Source organism: Homo sapiens, chromosome 3, assembly GCF_000001405.40.
Source record: "Homo sapiens chromosome 3, GRCh38.p14 Primary Assembly".
In the NCBI taxonomy this organism is placed as follows: domain Eukaryota; kingdom Metazoa; phylum Chordata; class Mammalia; order Primates; family Hominidae; genus Homo; species Homo sapiens.
The window spans coordinates 123808512-123833992 of record NC_000003.12 but is presented as its reverse complement, the minus strand read 5'-3'; the positions used below and the strand labels follow the sequence as shown (position 1 = coordinate 123833992).

General features: G+C 45.0%; 1 protein-coding gene and 1 non-coding gene across 16 annotated transcripts in view; one reads left to right on the top strand and one right to left on the bottom strand.

Moving 5' to 3' along the window:
* Positions 1 to 25481, top strand: part of MYLK (myosin light chain kinase) — a 274284-nt gene that overhangs the window by 50340 nt on the left and 198463 nt on the right. For 6 of the 15 annotated variants that reach the window (XM_047448186.1, XM_017006469.3, XM_024453534.2 and 3 more), the window contains exons 1-2: positions 2352 to 2445; positions 2538 to 2597. In XM_047448186.1, coding sequence (XP_047304142.1) covers positions 2571 to 2597 — 27 coding nt within the window. In that variant the 5' untranslated portion in view covers positions 2352 to 2445; positions 2538 to 2570. Of the gene's footprint in view, positions 1 to 2322; positions 2446 to 2537; positions 2598 to 25481 lie in introns of those variants that run through there. The other 9 variants (XM_047448184.1, NM_001321309.2, NM_053028.4 and 6 more) reach the window with 2 other exon arrangements.
* Positions 19786 to 19916, bottom strand: LOC124906346 (small nucleolar RNA SNORA5). Its single transcript, XR_007096306.1, has one exon. It is a non-coding gene; the product is annotated as a small nucleolar RNA SNORA5 (small nucleolar RNA).

The window sequence follows — 25481 nt, the reverse complement described above, 5'->3', positions numbered from 1 at the left end:
ACCCTATTGGTAGAATTGTCCATTGTTCAGTGGACAATTTTCCAGTGTTGTTCAGTCCTCTCTCTGGAGAGAGACCTTTTGGAGATTAGCACTGGAGGGCCCTGTTACCTGATGAAGTGGCTTCGTGTCCTCATTTGACAAGGAGAATTGTGTGACCTCTCCTGTTTCCTTTTTTGCCATGAGTGTCAGGGAACTCGGGGATAGATGTAATGCCTGATAGGGTTGAAAAATTAGCTTAGAAAATCATTTCACCCATATTATCAGCTTTTATATAGTTTTAATTTTTACATAATTAACAGCTTTATTTTTTGTTTTCTTGTGAGTGGCTTCTAATTATTTGAGAAGCAGGAGAGTATTAAATGTCTGTGGTGCATGTGAGTTGTGAAATAATAGCCAGATGTGGCCTAATCAGCTGGGCAAAAGAATGGAAATGACAGAGCACCCAGGGGCCTCCCGTGTGCATGGGGCAGGGTAGGGAACTGAGGATAGGGAGAGCAGCAGGTTTGGAGGCTCCTCTGGCTGGTAGAAAGCAGAAGGGGGCTGCTGAGAATGAAGGGCCAGGTGTGCTCACTGGAGGTGGGGTCAAGGTTAAGGAACTAAGAAGCAATAGGTATCCCTAAACCTTCACCAGAGATGGATATACATTGAGGGGGGTGGCAGCAGATGTCCTGAGCTTGACCTTTCTCTTCAAGGTCAAGAGATGTCCTGCTGGGATTGCCTGGATTAGCTTATGAGACATGTGGAAACCATTCCTTATAGAAACACCTGTTCTGCTTGAGCTCTCATTTGGTCCTGTGGCCAAACAGATTACAGGGAGCAACTGGGTGCAGACAAGGCTGGCATTCCTGAAATGAACTTTCTGCTGACACTTCCTGTCCAGGTGGAAAAGAGCACCTGGCTGTGGGACTGTAATGGGGTGGGAATTCCACCTCATCCTGCCCCTTCTTTGAGAGCCCCGTCTCTCCCGTTTCCTTTTCAAAGTGTCCCTCAAAGTGTCAGGGGAAGCCACAACCCTAAACTCAGGGTTTCCACCCTCTCTCTCTCCTTTGTGATTTATTAAGGGATTGTGTAAGGACGTTTTCAGTGTGGAAGTCCCCTGCTGAAATGCTGTCTTAGTCTATCTGTGCTGCTATGACAAAATACCTGAGGCTGGGTGATTTACAAATAGTAGAATTTTTTTTCCTCACAGTTCTGGAAAATGGAAGTCCAAGATCAAGACACCAGCAGATTTGGTGTCTTGTGAGAGCTGTTTTCTGCTTCCAAGATGGTGCCAAGTTGCTTTGTCCTCACTTGGCAGAAGACAGAAGAGCAAAAAAGGGCCTCACCAGTTCGCTCCAGCCCCTTTATAAGGTTGCTGATCCTATTCTCCAGGGCTCTGCCCTCTTGACTTAATCACCTCCTAAAGGTCCTACCTCTTAACACTGTTGCATCAGGGATTAAGATTCAACATAAATTTTGGGAGGGAACAGAAAACATTCAAAAACAGCAAATGCCATTGTGAGGGCTTGATTTCCTTTGGATTTTCAAACTATCCTTTTCAAATTAACACACCATCTGGATGGGTAGCTTATGGAGGGCTCTGAAATAAGTTATTTGTCCCTCTGAGGAAATGGAATTGCTACTTACTGTAGGTATTTATTTCCCTCTTAAGAAGTGAGATTTTCCCTCAGAGGAAAACAAAAGTGTCTGAAGGGAGGAGAAGGGGGAACTTCAGGAGCCTGGGCCAGGCTGAGTCGGGGGTCCCGTGTTCCACCTTGGTGTGGTGCTGGGGGAACAGAGCATATCAGCCCAGCCCTGGGACAGTGAAGGTAGGAGAGACACTCCTCTAGAAGCACAGTGCTTTCCCAGTGTGTTGGTGTTTCTTTTCCTGCCCTGTCAGCCCTTTATTCCCCTGGCCATGTCACCGAAGCCAGATCCCTGATAGCCAGGAGCCAGCTCCCTCCAGAATGCCCCAACAGCCACCTACCTGCACTGCCTTTCACCTGCAGGAAGGCAGCTCCCATGGCCTTCCTCCCTCACCCCTGCCAGGGCCTCTCCCTAGACCCTGCAATCTACCCTGAGTACCACCGTCATGGTTCTGCGTCTGTCCTCTGTGGGGGAAGAAAGTACCTCGTTCTGGTTCTCCTTGTAACTATTGTTCCTGAACTCTAAACGTATAACCCCCCCACACGGTAATAAAAGCCACCCATCGTCACTGTTGGGATGCTTCCCTATTTCTACATAGCCTGTCCCAGAGTGATGTACTCCTCCCAGCCGCTCCCACATCCCTTTTGCGTGTCTGTCTCTGATTTGGCTTTCCTTTCCTCCTTCCCACCCACCCAGGTGGCTCCCGGCTGCCTCTGCTGCAGTTCAGAGCAACTTCAGGAGCTTCCCAGCCGAGAGCTTCAGGACGCCTTTCCTGTCCCACTGGCCCAGTTGCCACAACAAACAACAGAGAAGACGGTGGTGAGTGAACAGAGTTTACATTATGCTGTTGACCATTCCTCCTCAGTCCACCCTGGGGAGGCTGCAGAGAGGGGAGCTGTGTGTCTTTCTAGGTGCCCAGAAGAGACTGCTGCCCCCAAGGTGAGATGGCACCTGGCCAGCTGCCCAAGCAGGTAAGAGTGAAGGCAGTATGCTGTAGCATTGTCTGTTGATTTTGGCTTAGCTGGTCAGAATTCTTGAACTGGCGAAGGTGGTGGAAATCATCATTGGAACTAGCCAGGAAACAAGATTAAGGGCCTGCGGGTTGCCCTGGCTGCTGCTAGAAACTGTTCACACTGCACGCTGTGGTACTCCATCCTTCCAAGCTGGCTGAAAACTTTCTCCTCCTGCTGCTCCAGGATGCTGCTCTGACTAACTCTGGTTTTGATTTCTCCTTTGACTCCATGGTTCCTTGGCAAGCAGGCATTGTTGGGGATGGAACACAGGTGGAACTTTGTGTTACCTGGACCCATAACCATAGCTAGTTCTGTGGGACTGAGCAGCTGCCAGAACACTATCCATAACCTGGTCACCTGCACTCTGTTTGGTGAGAAATCCTGTGTGATAATAGGTGTAGAGTGAGCCTGTTTAACAAAGACAGTGCCTTCTTTGGGCAGCTGTACAATAGTAAATATTCTAAATAATATTCCAAAATGTGGGTGATCGTTTGGGATTTCATATGTGTAATTTGGGGCTTAGGGTGTTTCCATTGCTTTCTGCAGCTTTAGCAGTGAGGAAGGTGGTTTCCCGCTGCTACCCTTGACCCCCTCCTTAGGGTCTAACTACTACAGTACTTCAGGGGTCCTCAGCTAACATCAGCCTGGGGTGAGGGTGTCAGTTAACTCTCAGTGCAGAGGAGGCTGGCAGGGCCAAAACCAATACCAGTGAAACAAAGAAAGTGAGAAGGTTGGTGGGTGGTGGACCTGGGGAGGCATGAATTAATAACAGGAAGTGTGGTCTGTGATTTCAAAAAAATAATACTGATAATTTCCCCCATGGTGCTAAACCTGCTTTGAACTATGACCCCATCATTGACTTGAGGGAATAGCTTCTTAGATTACTTTGAAAGACATATCGAAGTATGTAGGGCCTGCTGTTTTGTTAAGGAAATAAATCCCATAACATTAAAGGAATTTTTTTAAAAGTGACTATAAGGTTGGACTCTAATATGGCTGATAAAGGGAAAAGCAGTGTCCTGCTACTGCCTGAAAGAAAACACAGCATATGTGGCTCAGATGGGGGCTTTATTTTAGGATTTGTGGGAGGCTGGACCAAAGCGAACACTGAACATATGAGCAAGGCGTTCTTTAAAGGAAAGCCTTAAGGCTTTTCACACTGTGAAGCACCGTAGGTAGAAGATCAAAGGATGCACAAAATAATGCAAGTCCCTTCTATTTTAAAGACACATCTGCCTGGCCAAAAGTCAGGATGAAAGTAGTGCCTCTGGTACTGGTGAGTGGGCTATGCCAGAAGCCCTCTTTGTTTAGTCACCTACTTTATGCTGTGACGGGAACATTTGCAGTGAGGAAAAGAAGTAAATAAAAATGAGATAAAACTTCAGTTTTAAAGCCTAGGGGCACATGACACCATAGGACTCACCCAGTATTCCTTTCTTTGCATCATTGGGGCCATGTGAGCAAAGCTCTTGAGATACATCTGGTCAGTGCAAAGGCAGTCTAGAACTCATGCCCTTCTTTGTGAGTCCCTTAAAGTCTGAGCCAATGGGACACTCATAGGTAATACAGGACTCCTTAGCAAGTTGTAAACATTTTTTAAATTTAATTTAATTTTAAAAAATTTACAAATAATAGTTGTGCATATTCATGGAGTACATGGTGATGTTTTGATATAATTAATATATGGTGATCAGATCTGGGCAATTAGCATATCCATCATTGCAAACATTTATCATTTCTTTATGTTTGAAACATTCAATATCCTCTTCTACCTATTTGAAACTATATAATATATTATTGTTAACTATAGTCATCCTACCATGGTATAGAACAGTAGAACTTCTTCTTCTTATCTAGCTGTAATTTTGTATCCTTTAGAAATCTGTCCCTATCCCACCCTTCTTCCTACCCTTCCCAGCCTCTAGTATGCTCTGTTCTACTTTTTTACTTCTTTGAGATCAATATTTTTTAGCTTTCACATATGAATGAGAACACACCATGTCTAACTTTCTGTTCCTGGCTTATCTCACTTAATATAATGTCCTCCAGTTCTATCCGTGTTGCCGCAAATGGCAGGATTCATTCTTTTTTATGGCTGAATAGTATTCCATTGTGTATCTATACAACATTTTATTTATCCATTCATCTTCTGTTGGATACCTACATTGATCCCATTTCTTGGCTATTGTAAATAGTGCTGCAGTAGACATGGGGATACAGACGTCTCTTCGATGATTTCCTTTTTTCCTTTGGATAAATTTCCAGTAGTAGAATTGCTGGATCATATGGCTGTTTTATTTTTAGTTTTGGAAGAACCTCTATATTGGTTTTCATAGTTGCTATACTAGTTTATATTCCCACCAAGAGTATATGAGTTTCCTTTTCTCCTCATCCTTGCCAGCATTTGTTGTTTGTCTTTTTGAAAATAGCCATTCTAACTGGGATAAGATGATACCTCATTGTGGTTTTGATTTGTATTTCCCTGATGATTAGTGATGTTGGGCAGTTTTCCATATATTTGTTGGCAATTTATATTTCTTCTTTTGAGAAATGTCTGTTCATATCATTTGCCCATTTTCTAATCAGATTGTTTTTCTGCTGTTGAATTGAGTTCCTTGTATATTCTGGATATTAATCCCCTGTCAGGTGAATAGTTTGCAAATATTTTCTCCCATCCTGTAGGTTTTTTCACTATTTGTTTTATTTGCTTCCCTTGCTATGCAGAAACATTTTCATTTGATATAATACTATTTGTTTATTTTTGCTTCTGTTCCCTGTGCTTTTGAGGTCTTATTCATAAAATATTTTCCCAGACCAATGTTCTGAGGCATTTTCCTTATGTTTTCTTCTAGTAATTTTATCATTTCAGGTCTTACATTTAGGTCTTTGATCCATTTTGAGTTGATTTTTGTATAGGATGAGCGGTGGGGGGTCTAGTCTTATTCTTCTGCATTTGGATATCCAGTTTTCCCAGCACCATCTATTCAAGAGAGTATCCTTTTCCCAAAGATGTTCTTGGTACCTTTGCTGAAAATCAATTGGCTGTACCTATGTGGATTAATTTCTGGGTTCTCTATTTGTTCCGTTGGTCTATGTGTCTGTTTTTATGCTAATACCATGCTGTTTGGGTTACTACAGCTTTGTAGTATATTTTGAGGTCTAGTAGTGTGATACCCCCAGCTTTGTCATTTTTGGTCGGGACTGCTTTGGCTATTTAGGGCCTTTCATTGTTCCATACAAAGTTTAGGATTTTTTTTCTATTTATGTGAAGAATTTCATTGGTATTCTTTGGATAATATTGTCATTTTAACAATATTAATTCTTCTGATCCATGGGCATAGGATGCGTTTCCACTTGTTTGTATCCTCTTCAATCTCTTTCATCAGTGTTTTGTAGTTTTTCTTGTAGAGGTCTTTCACCTCCTTGGTTAAATTTATTCCTATTTTTTTTTAGTAGCTATTGTAAATCGGATTTGCTTTCTTGATTTCTTTTCAGCTAGTTTGTTGCTTGTGTGTAGAAATGCTACTCATTTTTGTATATTAATTTTGTATCCTGTAACTTTACTAAATTTGTTTATCAGTTCTAAGTTTTTTGGTAGAGTCTTTATATATATATATATATATATATATATATATATATATATATATATATATATATATGGTGTTTTTCATCTTTTCATTTCCAGATGTAAGAATCCCTTGAGCATTTCTTGTAAGGCCAGTTTAGTGGTGATGAATTCCTTTACTTTTTGCTTGTCTGTGAAATATTTTATTTCTTCTTCATTTCTGAAGGTTAGCTTTGCTGGGTATAGTATTCTTGGCTGACAGAGTTTTTCCCTTCTTTCTTTCAATAGTTTAAATTCTATTCTTTCCTGGCCTGTAAGATTCCTTTTGAGAAATCTCCTGTTAGTCTAATAGAGATTCCCTTATATGTAACTTGGTGCTTTTCTCTTGATGCTTTCAAAATTCTTTCTTTGTCTTTGACTTTTGACAATTTGATTATAATGTGCCTTAGTGAGGACCTGTTTGGGTTTAATCTATTTGGGGTTCTTTGAGCTTTCTAGACCTGAATGTCCATCTCTCCCCTAAGACTTAGGAAGTTTTCTGCTAATTTTTATTGCATTAATTGATTTCCTTTTAGTTCTTTTTAAATGATATCCATCTCTTTGTTGAATTTCTCATTCAAATCTTCAATTATTTTCCTGATTTCATCAGATTATCTCACTGATTTTCCTTAAGATTATTATTTCGAATTGTTTTTCTGGCATTTCATATATTTCCTTATGATTGGATTCTGTTACTGGATAATTACTATCTTTCTTGGGAGGTAACATATTTTCTGATTTTTTTATGGTTGTGTTTCTACATTGATTTCTATGCATCTGGTGGAAAAGTTGCCTCTTCCAATTTTATGAAGTAGGCTTTGTAGAGAAAGACTTATATGAATGTGTCTTGTGATGTCGGTTCAGTGGGGTGCATTTGCCTGGGTTCTAGGTGGATGCATTAGTGTAGTCTCTGTGTAGTTTCTTCACCTGTAATCCACACTAGTGGCATTTGTGATTTCTCAGTGACCTAGGCTGAAAGAGTTTGTGGTGACAGTGGTGCAGCTTTGCTAGGCTGGGCTTGCTGGGCTCTTTCTAAGGTTGGAGGATATAAATGTAAATGATGGATTGACCAAATTTGGGTCTAGCTTGCTGGGTTTGGGAGCCCAGGGCTGTTATTTTGGCCAGGAGCATGAGCATGCAGATGTTTGGCCAACCTAGTGTGCCTGTCAGGAGTGGTCTGTGGGGCTGCTTTTCAGACTCAGGACAGGATGCGGACAGAAGTCCACTTGGCTGGACTCAGGTTGTGTTTGCTGGGGACTACCTACAGGTCTGTTTCTTATGCTTGTGACACAGCTGCATGGTTGCCTGCTTGGCTGGGGGGCATGTCTGCTGGGGATGGCCCATGGGGCTCTTTCTTCATCTCAGGACATGGGCTTATAGCTGCTCAGCCAGCCTGGTGATGTGTCTGCCAGGGGCAGCCCATGCAGCTGCTTATTAGGCCCAGGATGCAGGTGCAAGACTGCTCAACTGGTGTGGTGGCATGCCTGCCAGAGGTGGCCCACAGGGCTATATCTCAGGCTGGGACGTGGACAGACAGCTGCTCAGCCAGCCTGGGAGAATATCTGCTGAGGGTGGTCCACAGCGTTGTTTCTTAGGTTTGGGACCCAGGTGCAAAGCTGCTCAGCTGGCATAAGGGCATACCTGCCAGGAATGTCCTGTGGGTTTCTCAGGCCCTTTTTTGGGGGTGGGGGTGGTACAGGGCCACTAGGCAGGCCAGGGACATGCCTGCAAAGGGGGGATGCTATTATGGAGCTGTTTCTCAGGTCCTGAGTGTGGATGCATAGCCACTTTGCTGGTGCAGGGGCATATCAACTGCTTGAAGGCTCAGGGGCCTCTCCTATTTAGAGGAGGGCATGCAACCATTTGGCTGGCTCAAGGGTGGGTTTTCCCCAGGCAGAACTGGCAGATTGTTCCTCTGGCTGGAAGTGCAATGGCAGGGGTTGGTTTCCCTGCTGTACAGGACCAGAGTCACAGCTGATCTTGGGCCCATGCAACTGGGGTTGTGGCTACAGCCACCCACATAAGCTTGGTGTAAGGAAAATGGAGCTCCAGTGCTGGAAGGTGCAGTACTTACTGGCCCCCAGAGCAGGATGCAATCCAGAGGTGGCTGAGGTCTCAAGATTGTGCCTTGCTGCAGCAGCTTGGCTCACAAGGGATGGGAGAGATGGGAAGTGCATACTTTGTGCTCCGAATTCAGGGCAATGTGGCTGTGTGAATTCCAGTGGCTCTCCAAACTGGGCCCAGGACTTGTAAGGACTGTGGGATTCTCCTGTTGTAAGGACTGTAGGTGTTTGCAATGCCAGTGGGGACCGGTGGGGATCTTCTGCTTATCTTTTCCTTGCAACAAGAAGTCTCTCCTGACTCCAGACAATCTTGGCAGGGGAGATAGATCTGCAGAGGTTGGGTGGCTCCATGCTGCCCTCCTGGACACCACAGGTGTATCTCCATGCCCTGCTACTTTCTAACACTCTCCCTACCAACATTTCTTAATAGATGTTTCAAAAGGGCAAGTAACCTGTAGTTTCCTCCATAGGTATTTTCAGAGATGTCAGTGGAAAGTCTCTTATCTGAATTCTATGACTTTTTTTTTCTTTTTTTTTTTTTTGAGACAGGGTGTTGCTCTGTTGCCCAGGTTGGAGTGCAACAGCACAATTATAGCTCACTGCAGCCTCGACCTCTCAGGTTTAAACAATCCTCCTGCCTCAGCCTCCTAAGTAGCTGGGACTATAGGCACACACCACCATATCCAGCTTTTGAATTCTTTGTAGAGATGGGATCTTGCTGTGTTGTCAGGGCTGGCCTCAAACTCCTGGGCTCAAGCAATCCTCCCACCTCAGCCTCTTGAAGTGCTGGGATTCCAGGCTTGAGCCAACGAACCCAGCCTTATGAATTCCGTGTTTTTAATGAAGATGATCATTCTGCTTTTGATATAATAACTTTGAACAATGAATTATGATATATATATCAAATTATATTTACATATGCTTCATTATTATTTTTCTTTTTTTAATGAAAGTACATGTATTTTAGAGAGCTCTATATTGCTTGATATATAACTTGTAGTTAAATATGGGGTTTGATCATGTTTCTTTAAAAGGTGGGCATTAGGACCTTGATCAATAGTGTAACCATCTCTTACGTTATTGTTTCTATGAAAAATTCAGTCCCCTTCCCCAGAAAAGAATGTAACTCCCATCAATGTGGCTAACATGACATGACATTCTACCAGGCATGACTTTCATTCATTTAACAAGTGCTCTTTGAATGAGGAGTGAGGCAAAGTCCCTGCTCTCACGTAATTTTCATTCTAGTGGAACAGGAAGACAGTAACATCCAGCAGTGATTTTAAAGTACAGTAAGAGCCAGATGCTGTGGCTCACACCTGTAATCCCAGCACTTTGGGAGACCAAGGCGGATGGATCACCTGAGGTCAGGAGTTCGAGACCAGCCTGGCCAACATAGTGAAACCCTGTCTCTACTCAAAATACAAAAATTAGCTGGACATGATGGTGTAGGCCTGTAATCCCAGCTACTCAGGAGGCTGAGGCAGGAGAATCACTTGGACCCAGGAGGCAGAGGTTGCGGCGAGCTGAGATCGCGCCATTGCACTCCAGCCTGGGGGACAAGAGTGAAACTCCGTCTCAAAAAAAAAAAAAAGAAACAATAAAGTACAATAAGGAGCATAAGGGGATGAAGAGATTGGGTAGAGGGGTATTTTATATAGGATGGTCAAGTGGTCAAGAAAGGCCCCCCTGTGGAGGTGATATGTAAGCAGAAAACAATAAAATAAAGGAGGGGGTCTTGAGAAGATCTGGAGGAAGAAAACTATTCAGGGTAGGAAAACTGTCCATTGCAAAGGCCCTGAGTCAGGAGTGAACTTGGTGTGGTTGGAGGAACAGCAAAGCAGGCCAGTGAGTGTAAGAGTGGGAGGGCAGAGCTTAATAGGAGATGAGTTTGGGGCAGTGAGCCAGAGCTGGGTGATGCAGGGCCGTGTAGGCCATGGTAAGGGGTTTGGGTTTTATTCTGTGTGTAGTGGGCAGCCATTGGAGGGTGTTAAGTGGGGAGCACCGCAATCTGACTGTGTGAGGGAGCTAACTGTAGGGAAGTGAGAGTGGAATTAGGGAGGCACATAGGAGACTGCTACAGTGGTCTAAAAGCATGACAATGGTGCCTTGGATGGCTGGTGGCAGTGGAGGTGGAGGGGAGTGATAAGATTAAAGTTAGAACCAGTCAGAGCTGCTTATGGATTGGAAGTGGAGGGAGAGGAGTGAGGGATGAATTCTGGGCCTGAGCACTTGGGTGGACAGTGGAGCCTTTTGCCTGGATGGGAAATGCTGTGAGAAGAGCACATTTAGCTGGAGGAAATGGAGAGGTCCTGTATGTCTTGTTAGATAAGCCAGTCGAGATCTGGAGTAGACAGTGAGATGTCAAATTCTGGAGGTCAGTGGAGAGGGTGGGATAAGAAATGTGTGTGGAGATCACCAGCTTCTGGATGGTGTATAAAACCACAGGACTGGATTTGATCACCTCAGGAGTGAGCATGCCAGTCATTTAGAGACGGGGAAAAGGAAGTAGGAAGAAAAACAGGAGAGCATGGCATTCCAGAAACCAAGGGAAGAAAGTCTGTCAAGAAGCAGGGGTGGTGATTAACTATGTTAATGTGTTAGTGCAGCCACGAGGTGTTTAAACCCATTATCACACAAGGAATGATGCTCTCTTGGTGATTTCCTGCTTTCATATGTGTTCGTGGACCTCATCTTCCCCCATTAAACTGGAACCTCATTGAAGCCAGGGATGATTTCTTTCTTCTGTTTGCACTTAGAGCCACTTAAAGCTGTCCCTTAACTGCCTCACTCCAAAAGCTCTGCAGTGTGAGGTTGAGGCCTGAAGTGACGTTTCCTGAGGAGCTACTTTTGGAGTTGTGTATTGGGTGGGTGTGGGGACAGTGATGACAAGGAAGTCCAGGACTAGTCCCTTCCTAGGCAGAAGAGGCTACTGATATCCCAACTCTGAGTAGAAGGGTTGGGTGGCAGAGGAGAAGACAGATGGAAGAAGTAGGACAGATGCACAAATGTGTCAGATTCTTAACTTCAGAAACTGTCAGCCCCACAAACGTGGTCATAGAACTTCAACCTGAGGAAGCAGGGACACTGATGGGTCATGATGGGCTCTTTGCCCACTGATTGATGCAGCAGTGGGATTCTTTACCATACTCTGTAAAGTACACATGACCCCCTGCTGCAGATGAAGAAGGATGGAGGAGTCCCTCATGGCTTCCCTTGAAGGTTTCTTACACAGAACTACCAGTTCAGGTTCTTACAAAGACTGGATAATCCAGATGGTACCTGTGTCTGGGGAGTAATTCTATGGGCTGCGCTTTGGGACAGCAGTGGCCTCTTCTCTTGACCAGGTTTCATTTCTCTGTATTGATGAGGAGTACCCAGGCCTGAGGGTCTGGCCATTTTTGACTAGAGGCAGTATCTGTGTTGGAATAGCCTGAAGACCCTGTCTTAGCCTATTTTATGCTGCTGTAAAAGAATATCACAAACCAGGTAATTTATAAAGAATAGAGACTTATTTCTTACAGTTCTGGAGGCTGGGAAGTCCAAGTTCAAGGGCTGGCTTCTTGCCAGGGCCTTCTTGCTGTGTCATCCCACGGTGGAAGGTAGAAGGACAAGAGAGAATAAGAGAGCAAGAGGAGGGTTGGACTTTTTTTTAAATAAGAAACCCACTCCTACAATAATGAACCCATTCCTGAAATAACATGAATCTATTAATGAGAACAAAGCCTTCATTACTTAATCACCTCTTAAAGGTCCCACCTCTCAAAACCGTTGCAGTGGGAGTCAAGTTTCCAAAACATGAATTCTGGGGGACACATTCAAACCACAGCAACCCCCTACAGGGTTGGACAAACTGGAAGTTAATCTATATAGGTAAAGGGTTGGGTTTTCTGGCAATTGGGAGATTGCGATGAGGTTTGGATCTTGTCCTGTCTCTTACATAAACATAATGAAAGCAGACGACCCATAGTATCATAGGAAAGCATAAGAGTAATTTCTGGTTGGGGCACTTGTGAACACTTTGACAAAATGGAAAGCCATCTTGGGGGAGGCAGGACCAGCAGTTGAGCCCCTACAACACAAAGGAGACCCTGGGTGCGGGATGAAGGTGGACCCCTAGCCCTGTAAAGTTTAAGCTGGTAGGAGGCCTGCAGATCAAGGGTTCATCCCCTGGAGTTTTTCTTGGAACTTATTACTAAATGTTTCCAGATAATCCCTGATCATGGGGCCTGATAAAATTCATTCTTACTGCTAAAACTATGTTAAGATAAAAGTTGTTTTTATTCATTTGCTATCCATTAAAGCCATCACAGACTAATTATTTTTCAAAAGAAAGAAAACTATGCTACAGCTCTGCAAGTAACTTATGACCAGATGTTGAGATCTTGGGATACCCTGCCCTGCTTAAAATATATTATAAGAGATCTTTAGACAGTAAAATCTAAAAATAAAACCCAAAATATAAAAAAAGATGAATAATAGCAAAGCATGATAGTTCAAGAGTTTTGTTGGCTTTTTAATTTTTTATTTATTTTTAAAAGAATCATTAGTTATAATTTCATACCAGTTGCTGAGACTTAGATATACCAATTTTGTAGTGGGGAGGGAGGGTAATTATAGAAAGCAAGAGAGAAAACTTTGAAAATCACTGTTAGCTCAGCCGGGCGTGGTGGCTCACGCCTGTAATCCCAGCACTTTGGGAGACCGAGGTGGGTGGATCACTTGAGGTCGGGAGTTCGACACCAGCCTGGTTAACATGGTGAAATCCTGTCCCTACTAAATATACAAAAAAAAGAATAGCCAGGTGTGGTGGTGCACACTCGTAATCCCAGCTACTTGGGGAACTGAGACAGGAGAATTGCCTGAACCTGGGAGGCAGAGGTTGCAGTGAGCCGAGATTGCACTACTGCATTCCAGCCTGGGCAACAGAGTCAGACTTCGTCAGAAAGAAAAGAATAAAAGAGAGAGAGAGGAAAGAAGGAAGGAAGGAAGGAAGGAGGGAAGGAAGGAAGGAAGGAAGGAGGGAAGGAAGGAAGGAAGGAGGGAAGGAAGGAAGGAAGGAAGGAAGGAAGGAAATCAATCACTGGTAGCTTAGCTGAATAGTCCATGGGTATCTGCAAGCTAGACTTTATCATGCACACAAATCCTCGATCTAAAAATGAGTGGCAGTGGAAGTAGTGGTAGGAGGCAGGAGTGAAGATCATGTCCCATTAATTTAGGGTATCTGAAAAAGACGTGGAGCCATGACTGCTTCTGTATCTACCAGCTTTCCACTTAGCTGCCTGAGGTGAGTAGAAATTATATTAGGCATTTCCATAACCTTATCCTTAACTGTGTTCCCTCCTTTTCTTAGTGCCTGAGGTGAGTCTGGCAGTATCTGTACTTCCCTGCTCCCATTCATACAACCATGTTCTTAGATCCTGGCTTGATGTGGGTTAGTCAGCTGTTCTAGGCCAGATTTCTCAGATTTCTGTTCTTACCTGTTCTGCCCAACTACAACAGCTGGTGTCCTGCTGGCCTTTGCCTGAGTCACACCCTCAGGTCATGCATCCCCACCTTTTACAGGCAGGGTTGTTAGCATGAGAGCCCTGCTCTGTGCTCTCAGTGAAGGATGAAGGGAGAGGAGAAGAGCACCCTAGGATGCTGGTAGAACTTTCAGTTCTCTTGCCAACAAATTGAATGAAGTTAGAAGCTCTCCGTAAGTTTTATTCAGTACAGACCTGGTGTCTGATGCTACAGTTAAGAGACTAGATTTAGAAGGAGGGTGGTGCACCTGTTTTGGTGGGAGGAATGAATGGGATGTAAGGAGAGATGATGGTCTGTGCATCTCAGACAAAGGAACTTAAAAAGAGGAGTCTTCAAAAGAATGCCCCCTGCAAAAAAAAAAAAAAAAAAAAAAGGAGGCTTAGAAATATCTCAAATGAACAGAAATTTGAATTACAATCCAGAAGATGAAAATCAACAGGAATAATAAGAAAATAAGGAAACATTCTTTACTTAAAAATTTTAAAAAGTCAGCTAAACGTTGCTAGGATGTGAAGGGGTAGATGACATTTTAAGATAAAGACTATGGGAAAGGAGTTTATTTTGCCACTATCTTTTCTATAGGCTTTTGCTAATAGCTGTGAAGGGTCTTAGATTTCATATACTTTCAAGTTAAGGAGTTAACCTGCCACAGTTTCATACCTGCTGGCAGAAGATGAGACTCATGGGGTAGAGATAAGGGACTTTATGATTCACAACAGTAACAGTAATCAGAACATCATCATTTTCCTGTACTGGTTCTTTGAGCTCCAACCCCCACAGGTTGACACCAAGAGAGCCAGGTGATACCTGCACACACAGTGGAGAGAATTCCTGAGCCTAGGGAACTTGAGAGCTCTGTAATGAACAGTAAGTGTGCCTGCACTTTGCTCCATCCTGAGGGAAACTCTCTCTTTGAAGGCTGTTTGCTATGCAAATCTTCTTGAAAAGATAGTCGGGAACAAAGGCAGTCAGTGCCTCTGCTTGCAAGATGTGCAAAACTGTGAGAGACATGAAGAATGGTCTCCCAACTGTTGCATCAATAAAAAGGAAAGGAAGCTAATGTTTATTTCATCCTTGTCATGCACCAAGCACTGACCAGGAGACTTCTCATTTCTTGCCTCATCAAAGTTTCAAAGCAGCCTTGCCCAGGGTGGTACTGTTGTTGTTTTATCGGTAAGGAAGCTGGTGAGTCAGGGAACTGGAATATCTAGGTGGAGGACTTGTGTATGTATTATGTACTTCTTATAATGTAAGCATTGTGCTAAGAAGTAGCTAAAACTTAATTAGATGCTTATCAGGTGCCAAGCACAGTTCTAAGAGCTCTCCATGAATTGTTGATTTAATTCACCACAACTAAGATTATCAGGTGCTGCTGAGGAAACTAAGGCACAGTGGGTGACAGAACTGAGATTCAAATCTGCACATTTAACCACTGTGTGGTTGCGAGTTGTGGGTTTTTGTTTTTGTTTTTGAGAGAGGGTCTGGCTCTGTCGCTCAGGCTGGAGTGCAGAGGTGCCATCTCTGCTCACTACAACCTCTGCCTTCTGGACTCAAGCAATCCTCCTGCCTCAGCCCCTTGAGTGGCTGAGACCACAGGCATGCACCACCATTCCCAGTTAATTTTTGTGTTTTTTTGTAGAGTTGTGGTTTGCCGTGTTGTCCAGGCTTGTCTCGACCTCCTGGGCTCAAGTGGTCGACTTGCCTTGGCCTCCCAAAGTGCTGGGATTACAGGTTCCCTGTGGTTGTGTTCTTTCTTCATTCCTCAGAGTCATAGCAAGAGGGTCATAGTCAAACTAATGTGTGCCCAGAGGAAGTGGATGTATTTGAAAACTGCCAAGTAGAAATAGTTGAAGTGGGACTGATTGTGTTTAATCTGCAGAATGATAAAGGATAAGTGATGCCTGTCTTCAAACATTTGTAGGCATGTCTTATAGAAGAGGAGAGTTCACTCTGTGTGACTGCAGGAGGCAGAATTGGGTCCATTTACGGGGAGGCATATCATGGCTCAGCAAAAATCATTTCTTGAATAATACAGTGCCCCCTGACATCATAAGGGAATGGACTACCTGTGAGAGTGGTAACTCAGTGGTTACCTTTCAAAGATGTGCTGTCTGGGCTCTGTCAAGGTCCCCACAATAAACCCCTCTGCTATAGGAGCTGGGCAATGGAAGAGGATGGCCCTAATGAGGTTCTCTAGACCTTTCCTAAGAGAGCTGACCCTGCTAACAGTGACCTGAACTCCTTCCCCTGCCATGCCCCCTGTCCCTTCTTGGAGCCTCAGGCCTCAGGTCTGTTGGACATGCACAGAGATGGTTTCTGCATGTGTGAGGAGGGTGCCTTACCTCTTGAGAATCCAGGACCACCCTAAGGATCTGGAGGAGTTAGTTCTGCAGCTCCTCGCACTCTCAGGCCTGCCCTATTTTTGGTTCCTTACCCGCTATCAGCCTGTAATCACCAGCCTCATGGCTCAGCTATACCCTGGCAAATCTCGTTGCACACATGAGGCCCACTGTTGCCCAGTTTGGGACAGAATAAGATTCTGTGGTTCTGTGATTCACTCTTTCCTTGTCAAGTAGCCCAAGCTTTAAAAAGCAAGTGGGAACAGGTGGTTGGGCCAGTGCTGCTCTGTGATGACCTTGCTACGGCCCCCTGACAACTCCCCTGGTGTAGCTGTAGGCCTGGGCTGAGCAGATCTGATCCAGATGCAGGCCCAGAGGGGAACCCTGGGCAGGTAGGGAAAGGAATTTGGGGAGATGGTAAGAAACAGGAGTGGTGGCAACTGGCTTCACAGTATATGTTCCACTCTGCTAGAAATGGCCTCTGCTAGGGGCTAAAGACTCCCCAGAAGTAGTCTTGTCTTAATTACTCTGTGGACATCTTTAAAAGAATCTCATTTTCATCAAAGGGTTTTAAAGAGTGATGCTTAGCCCAGTGTAAAGGGCATAGTCAAGATCTGATCCTGAAATAATATCTCTGCTATCCTAGATGTCAGGAGAAACTAAAAATATCCTCATAACCCTGAGGAATTCTTGGTTTATTGCACCCATCTCTTTTCCCTCTGAACATCCTTCCAGAAAGTGAGAGAGTGAGGAAGTGAGCCAAGAAGCTTTAATTACCCAATCTGCTGACATTATTTTATCTGCGCCACTGATATTAAATCTGCACAGCATTCCACTTAAATCTCAGTGCTAACAGCAGCCTCTACAAACTTGGGCCTTTGTCCTTCTGCTGGCTGTGGCCCATGCTCTGTTTCCCACCCTACTGCACCCTCCTTCAGACTTCTTAAATTCCGAAGCTTTCTGTGGCACCGGAAATGATCTGTCTGTGGAATGTCCATACTTCAGGAAAGTCCCCGATCTGTGTGTGTTTATTCCCAAATTCTGCTCCCCCCAACTCAGCCTGGCTGTTTGTGGTTGAGTTCTGGCACGTGCCCATCATTACAGAAACCTGGATTTGGCAGGGGCATTGTGCCATATTTCTATTATTGGCATATTTGGAGAAGGAGGAGAAAGTCTGTCTAGTTTTTTTTCCCTCTCTTTTATGTACAAATGAAAATTTCTGTCTTATGTTATTAACTTTTCTGGCCAACCAGTGAAATACATCTTCAATTTCAGGTTGGTTCCCTGGAGTGTGGAAGTTTTCTCTTGGTTTAATGTTGACTCTGTCGCCTAATAGCTGGTTCATTTAGCACCCAATTGGTGCTATGGTTATAGCTGCAACAGGCCACATTTAAGGAGGGCTTCCAGGGAACCAGCACTGTGTTGAGGACTTCAGTCCTCATGACCTCTGAGACAAGTGTTGTTACCATCTTCCCCCCATTATAGGGAGGACATGAGCTGAAAGAGGTCCAAGAACTTTGCTGAAGGTCTTGCAGCAGAGCTGGGGCTGGAAGCCAGGCAGTGTGGTGCCAGAGCTGGCTGACTTCAGCGCCTACTTCATGCTTCCATGCATGCATACATATGCCATACATACATATGGGAGACCCATAGGATGTATGCCATCAATGCATACTGATGTGCACACCAGTGCTCCCACCATCCTCCCAGGAAGTGTTGATATCATTATAAAACTCTGTCCTCAGCAAGTGTGTATTAAGAACTTACTGTGTGCAGATCCAAAGATGTACAAACCCAGGTCCTGCTCATAGGCATTGCAGCTGGGGAGACAAGGCCTTGATCTGCAGAATCTGAGCTGGGCTGAGCAGGGGAAGCTTCATCTGTTTTGTTCACTGCTATGTCTCCAGGGACTATTATAGCACCTGGCAGGTAGTAAGCTCTCAAAAACGTGATGAATGAACAAACTTCTAATTAAACAAAGCCATTTACATTTTTACAAATAAATGAAAGAACACATGAATTTCTAAAAAGTTTGAAGGACATAAACTGAGATTAGAGGACAGCCTTTTAAATTATTTACGTTAAGCGGTATAAAAAGCTCCCCATGTTGTCCTCATTTTTCTTACTTTTCATAGGTTGGTGGGCACGATGTGATGGATGGGGTGCTTGTGGACCCATGTCATAGATAGGGCTTTAGAGGCTCTTAGATCCTGCTGGGTGGGGAGGGCTTAGAGAAGAGATGGACCTTGAGGTTGGAGTAGGACTCAGCTGGGTGGAAAAGACCATGGGAGGCATTCCAGAGCTGCCCCCACTGGCAGGATTATACTGGAGAGGGCAGAAGCCTCATGTTTTGCTTGATAGCAATCGTTTTGAACTTCACGACTTCTCGAAGCTTGGATCCTTTTCTGTCTTACTCAATACTTGCCTCACTTCCCAAGGCTTGCCTAACTTGGTTGGGTATCTAAGTGTACATCCCTTCAAACCATGTAGGAATCCCTGGACCTGATACTTGCCTGAATTCTGGCACCAGATCAAGAAGAACAAGCTTAAACGGAGGCTGAGGCAGGAGAGTAAAATACTGGGGAGCCACAAGTCAGCACCAGGCAAGTTGACAGGAATCAAGAGGACCTGGATGCAAGAGCCATAAAATCCCATGCACTCTGACTCAGTAATTGAAGTTCTTGAAATGTATCTTGGGGAAATAATCTAAAGGATTATTATGGAAATAAAGGGGCCAGGTGTGGTGGCTCATGCCTGTAATCCCAGTGCTTTGGGAGGCCAAGGTGGGTGAATCACCTGAGGTCAGGAGTTCAAGACCAGCCTGACCAACAAGGTGAAACCCTGTCTCTACTAAAAATACAAAAATTAGCCAGGCATGGTGTCAGGTGCCTGTAGTCCTAGCTACTCGGGAGGCTGAGACAGGAGACTTGCTTGAACCTGGGAGGTGGAGGTTGCAGTGAGCCGAGATCATGCCGCTGTACTCCAGCCTGGGTAACAGAATGAGACTCCATCTAAAAAAAGAAAGAAAGAAAGAAAGAAAGGATCAGTTTATGTCCATGAAACTGTTTGTTTTAATGAAATTGGAAGCAACCTAAATAGTAAATAACAGGGGCATCATTAAGTTTTGGCTTGTCTACTTGCTAGAATATGATACAGTCACTGAAAATAAGATTTATGAAGAGTGTTCCATATCTGAGGAAAAGCATGAAAAATGAAGGCAATGATAATTTGTATATATAATTTTATTTTTAAAAGTACATACATAGAAACAGATTGGAAAAATATTACAGAAAATTATAGTATTTATATTGGGGGAAAAGTCATTTGTAATCGTACTCACGACCAAACTTTTAGCCAATATTGTTTATTTGTTTATGAATGACAAAAGATGATGAGACAAGGGAACTCGGGTGAGTTCAACATTCCTGTAAAGAGTCAGAAACCAAGACACTGTCTGTCTAGCAAAGGAGTAAGGACAGCTATGAGAACATGTCCAAAATAACCCGGAGTGTGAAATAACAGGTTCCTGGACAGAGGGGACATGAAGCCTGAGCTTGGCCGGAATAGGGTGAATGTGGCCGGGGAAGATACCTTTGTCTTTTGTTTTTCTAGAGGCTTGGTATCTGTAACCAAATTTATCCCTGAGCCCGAGACACAGGAACAGGGCCCATGAGTCAGTGTTTCTGTGGCAGCCTTCTGGGTCAGTGCCTACACAGGCAGGGCAGGCACCAAATTTGACACAGCTGCATGGGGAAGATATCTTTGAAGTCATGTCTTGTGTCTAGACTTAGGGAGACATGGGAGTGATTAGGGTAGAGGTGGCCTTATGTATAGCCCGGCTCCCCTGAATAGTCCCAGCATGAGTATTCAAAGAGCCCTTTCCATTCTCAAGAGCTCTCATTTGGATAATATGTTATGTGGTCACCCTAATTATTGAAAAGGAGGTTGGAGGACATTCTGGGTTGATGACAGTTGCTCTGCTGGTTGCCTCTAGTGCTTAAGAGGCCGTGAATTGTCCGGGCATGGTGGCTCATGCCTGTAATCCCAGCACTTTGGGAGGCTAAGGCAGGCAGATTGCTTGAGGTTGGGAGTTCGAGCCCAGCCTGGCCAACATGGTGAAACCCCGTCTCTACTAAAAATACAAAAATTAGTCAGGCGTGGTCGCACATGTCTGTAATCCCAGCAACTCGGGAGGCTGAGGCAGGAGAATCGCTTGAACCCGGGAGGCAGAGGTTGCAGTGAGCTGAGATCACGTCACTGCATTCCAGCCTGGGCAACAGAGCGAGACTCCATCTCAAAAAAAAAAAAGAGAGAGAGAGACAGTGAATTAAGATTCCCTGACGCAGAGGTGGGCCCAGCCTGATGGAGAAGTGGCCCAGGTGTTGTAGATGAATACAGTTCTGCTGTCTATCCTGATTAAGATAACCAAGGTAATTATTCCCAAGCTGCCCCAGCATGTGGCTAGAATTCATATTTAACTTTGACCCAAGAGCTCCTTTTCCCCTTGCAGTCTTCCTCCCCCATCCCACAAACCTGGTACATGACCATTAAAATCTCAATAAGCAGAAGCTTAAGTAAGGGTAAATAATTTGCCAGCTGAACCTTCCCCTATTTGCAACCTTTTAGCATTAGCAAGTTCTTGACTTTTCATGAAAAAGCCCTGGTATGGCTAGTGCAAAAATCAGTTCAAATGGTAGAGGATGATAACTTTAAGCAGATAGGGACTTGGCCTGAGTGGGCTCTGTTTACTTCCTGCTGTCTGCCCTTTCTTCTATCGGCTCTGTCAAGGCACGTTTTTTGGGAACCCCATTACTGAGCAGACTGCCAAGTTGACCATCAGTGATCTAGCCTGGGAGCCAAGCCTAGGTTCATCTTGCAAGAAAAGTGGGGTGGGATTGTGGAGAAGGCCCCCTTCCCTGTGCCCACAGGAGAATTGGTGTGACCCTGAGTGCCCCAATATGCCTGGCTGGACATCTTGGGAGCACTGCGAAACAGGAGGTAAAGACCTTCACAAAGTATCTCCTCACAGACAGCCTCAGCTCAGTGGGGCCCCCAGTCAACGGAGAAGCCGTGACAGGCACAGCTGACTGGATGTGTGAACAAACAGATTAACAGTTGGCCCTGCATCAGGGATTTCCAAAGTAAAGAGACATCTAGGTCTTTCATAGATGTTTTGTTCAGTTGGTTGGTTGAGGGACACAGGTGACAAGTGTTGGGGCAAACTCTGGCTTTTCCTGGACTTAAGCAAGAAATTACCTTTTGGCACCTGGACACTGTTTTAAGTCTCTAGTTAAGAGATAAGGGGAAACCACTGTCTCACTCAAGAGAGAACGCTCTGCTTTAGAGGCCAGGCTAGATATGGAATTGGCCGGGATCTGTGGAGAGGACACCTGAGCAAGCATGGGCTAATGTCAAACCATAGCTTCCTAGAGAGGTTGGGTGGGGAAACCTGACTTTCAGTGGGGGAGAAAGTACCACTGCAAAGTCTTAAACTGAAACAGGTGTAAGCAAGTTGGTTCTGACCGCCCCTCATTTGGTTTAAGCTTACATCACAAGGAACAGGTGCTGTCAATAATGAATTCAGTTTTTCTCTTGAGCCCAGAAGCAGAGCGGGATGAAGCCATTAAGGTGATAGAACCCAGCCCTGACTAATAGGTATGAGGGGGAACAGAACTGGGGGGCAAGAGTTCTTCAGTGTAGGCGTCCTGAATCTCTATCGCTGACTCTGAGAAGTCCCAGGGGTCTGCTTTCTCTAAGAACAGTTCCATATTGGGTAATGACAAAAAACCAGAGTGAGATTAAAAATGGATTCTTTATATTGAGCGTTAATGATAAAAGCTCCAGGTGATAGCATTCTGTTCAATGTTATATAACTGTTAGAAATGGGGGTTAGTAGTTAGAAGTGAATTGTTAATTTAATAGATATGTTTTTATAGAAAAATGATACAAATAAGTATGTGAAGTACTGCTTTCTGGCCTAATCAATCACACCTGGAGGGGCCTAGCTGGCTGGCTGCTGTGTCCACCAGGTAGAAGCTTACCTAAATTGCTTGAAAGAAAATGTTCTGGCACTAGAATTGCCGTTTCAAAGCTTTACAGGGATGATAAACAACATACTGCTCTTCAGAGCACTATACCAATCTTGTTACTGTTGGCGAGAGAGAGCATCTAACACTCAATAAATGCTAGGCACTCCAGGCTGAATGCTAAAAAAAATGAACTGCTGCCTTTGTTTAGCACAGTGTCCCCGGTAGGGTGTGGAATTTCAAGTTCAGGAGTAGACAAGCATGAAGGGTTTTAGGGCCTTTGAACAGGTCAATGCCCCATTAGCTTTTTAATTTTCCATCCCACTTTCCTGGCTCCTGGGGCTCTATTTTTCTCTTTGATAATCTGTTTTCTCCAATAGGATTCCAAATTCCCTATTGGAAGTTGAGCCTCATATCCTCAAGGCCCATGATCCCTGAGCCAGGTATGAGTGCAGCTAATAGCTGATGGTGGTCCATTGATCTCCCTGTTGGCCCTGCATTTGCCTGTACTTCCCCCTTGCAGCTGATGGAGGATCCTGTGTGGAAGGGCTCCCTCACCCCGAGTGCAAATGGCTCCCTGTTTCAGAAAGGGTTGAGAGGGGACACGCACTTTCTCCTCTCCACTGGAAACCAGCTGAGCTGACACCTCCGAGCAGAAGTTCCTCTTTGTGTTCCTGCTGATGGGCTGTGCTCTCAGTTGATCATTGGTTTTTTCCATACCTTCTCCAGGTTCTCAGAGGTCACCATTTCTTTCCAGTTAGCCCCATTCTAGAAGAGATTTAGGGCTGGGAGAAAAGGAGAAACATGTGTTAGCCTCATTAGTATCTTTGGTGAAGTGTGAGGAGAAAAAGGTAGCCATGATTGCTAGAAAAATGAGACTGTTAAGGGAGAAAAGTGTGTCGATCTCTGTTATCACCCATCATTGCAGATGGCAAAAATCAGTTGTTCTCAGCAACATCACTGACTGCCCTGCAGACAACCTGGAACTGGAGGGTGTCCTTTGGGAGACAGGCAGGGCATGGTGTGGAAGGGCCTGTGTGAGTCACATGAGGACAGCCAAGGGTCTGACTGGACTCCCGGCCAGTCCTGCCACAGGCATTGCATGCAGCTGGTGCTTGAGTGGGTTCACCTGCCTACCTGAGGAGCACGACAGGGAAGGTGAGAACTGTCCTGAGCCTGTTGGGGGGATTGTTCATCTAGAAGAGACATGACTGGCATCCCCATTGGCAGAGCCAGGGCCAGGCTTAGAGCTGGCTTACATTTCCTCATTTTGTATTCTATTGAGCGCCAGAAATGAAGCAGAGAGGGCTGAACCCTGACACAGTGGGCCGGCCCAAGCCTGAGATTGAGGCCCAGAAAGGCCTAGGCTCAACAGACGCCAGCTCCAGACCCAGGGCCACCCTGCTCACCCATGGCTCACAGGGAGATGCAGATTGAACTCTTCGTTCCAGAGAGTGGCCACCTTGATTGGGAAGGGAAGCAGGGGCAGGGGAGGAGAGGGAAGTCACAGGGAGACTATGGGAACCACGGGAAACACGGCCATTCTGTCCTGAGGTCTGGGGGAGGGGCCTATGTCCGCGTTTCACCTACAGCACTTATGTCATTGTATTGGGAGGAGGTAGTTGAACCTCTCACCTTATTTATAGTCCTAGCGGGTATTGTGGGCACTCAGTAAATACACAGTGATGGGTGTGCGGACAGGTAATGAGTTCTGAGCCTTAGGCCCTAGTTCTTCCTGCTCTGCTGAGAGCACAAACCTGATAAAGCTTGAGAACCATGATCAGGTAAACTGTTCGAAATAGTCAGGAGAGTCCCATCTTCTCAATCCTTTTGTCCAGCTGTGGAGTAGGCCTTTTAGACAAACAACAGTGGCCTAAGAAGTTGGAATATAGAAGAGGATTCCTATGTATAAGAACCGCAGGAAATTATGAACTTCTGGAATTTCCTTGCTGAGAGGGCTGTGTGTTGTGGCTGTGGCATTTGGCTACTGCGTGTACGTCCTATTTCCTGTAATACAAGGCTTAGCTCATCACTAGCAGACTGACAAGCTAGTCTCAGAAGCAGGGCAACTGGGATTGTCAAATAGGTTTCCTTAGTATGCTCCATCCTGCTTACTGGTGAGAGGTTTAGGATAGTGTGTCTGAGCTGCTGTCTGCAGAGCAGAGTGTGCGAGTGGCTCTGCAGGTGCTGGAGCTCACAGAGAGACTGCCAGGATGTGCACCTAAGATTATATGTTTAGAGGTCTTCTTTTTGTTTGTTTGTTTTTGTTTTTTAGACGAAGTTTCACTCTTGTTGCCCAGGCTGGAGTGCAGTGGTGCAATCTTGGCTCACCACAACTTCCGCCTCCTGGGTTCAAGCGATTCTCCTGCCTCAGCCTCCCAAGTAGCTGGGATTACAGGTGCCTGCCACCACACCTGGCTACCTTTTTGTATTTTTAGTAGAGATGCTGTTTCACCATGTTGGCCAGGCTTGTCTCGAACTCCTGACCTCAAGTGATCTGCCCACCTTGGCCTCCCAAAGTGCTGGGATTACAGGCGTGAGCCACCACGCCTGGCCTGCTTAGAGGTCTTCTAACCCCAGAGAGGTCAGGACACTCCCTCAGGGCCTCACTGTTAGCAGACCCTGTCCCTGAAATGTTGTGGCCTTAAGTCAGTTTCTTCTCTGTAGGCCTTGGTTTTCTTATCTATAGACTGAGAAGGTGAGCCAGGGGCTCTCTGAGTTCTGTGATTATGTGCAATCTAGCAGCAGAGCCAGGACAGGACACCAGGACCTTTGAACTCCAGTCCACTCCCAGCTCTTCCGTGTGGCATCTCTAACAATGTGACCTTGTCACCAAGGGTCTGAAGCCTGGAATCAGAGACCTCAGTTCAAATCCAGTTGATAATAAGTAGCCGTTACTTATTAGCTTTGAGAACTTTGGCTACTATTACTCAACTTCTGAGTGCTTCCTTTATCTTTAAAATGAAAGTAATACAGTATGTATCTTATAGAATTACTTTGAAAATTACAGTAAACTTATATAAAGCCCTCAGTACAGTACCTAGTCCTCAATAAGCATTCAATAAATGGGTTGTTTGTATTAGTGACAATCGATATGTGGTTCAGTCACTGCACTTGTCTGGACCTTAGGTTTCCTTTCTGTAATTGGACCAGTGCTTCTCTGACTTAGCCATCCCTGAGGACAGTAGAGAAAGAGCATGTATTCTAGGGTTAGGGGCTTGGGGTGTAGCCTGTAGCAGCTTGCAGAAAGCCTGGCATTTCTTTGAACTCCTATTTATTTGTAAAAT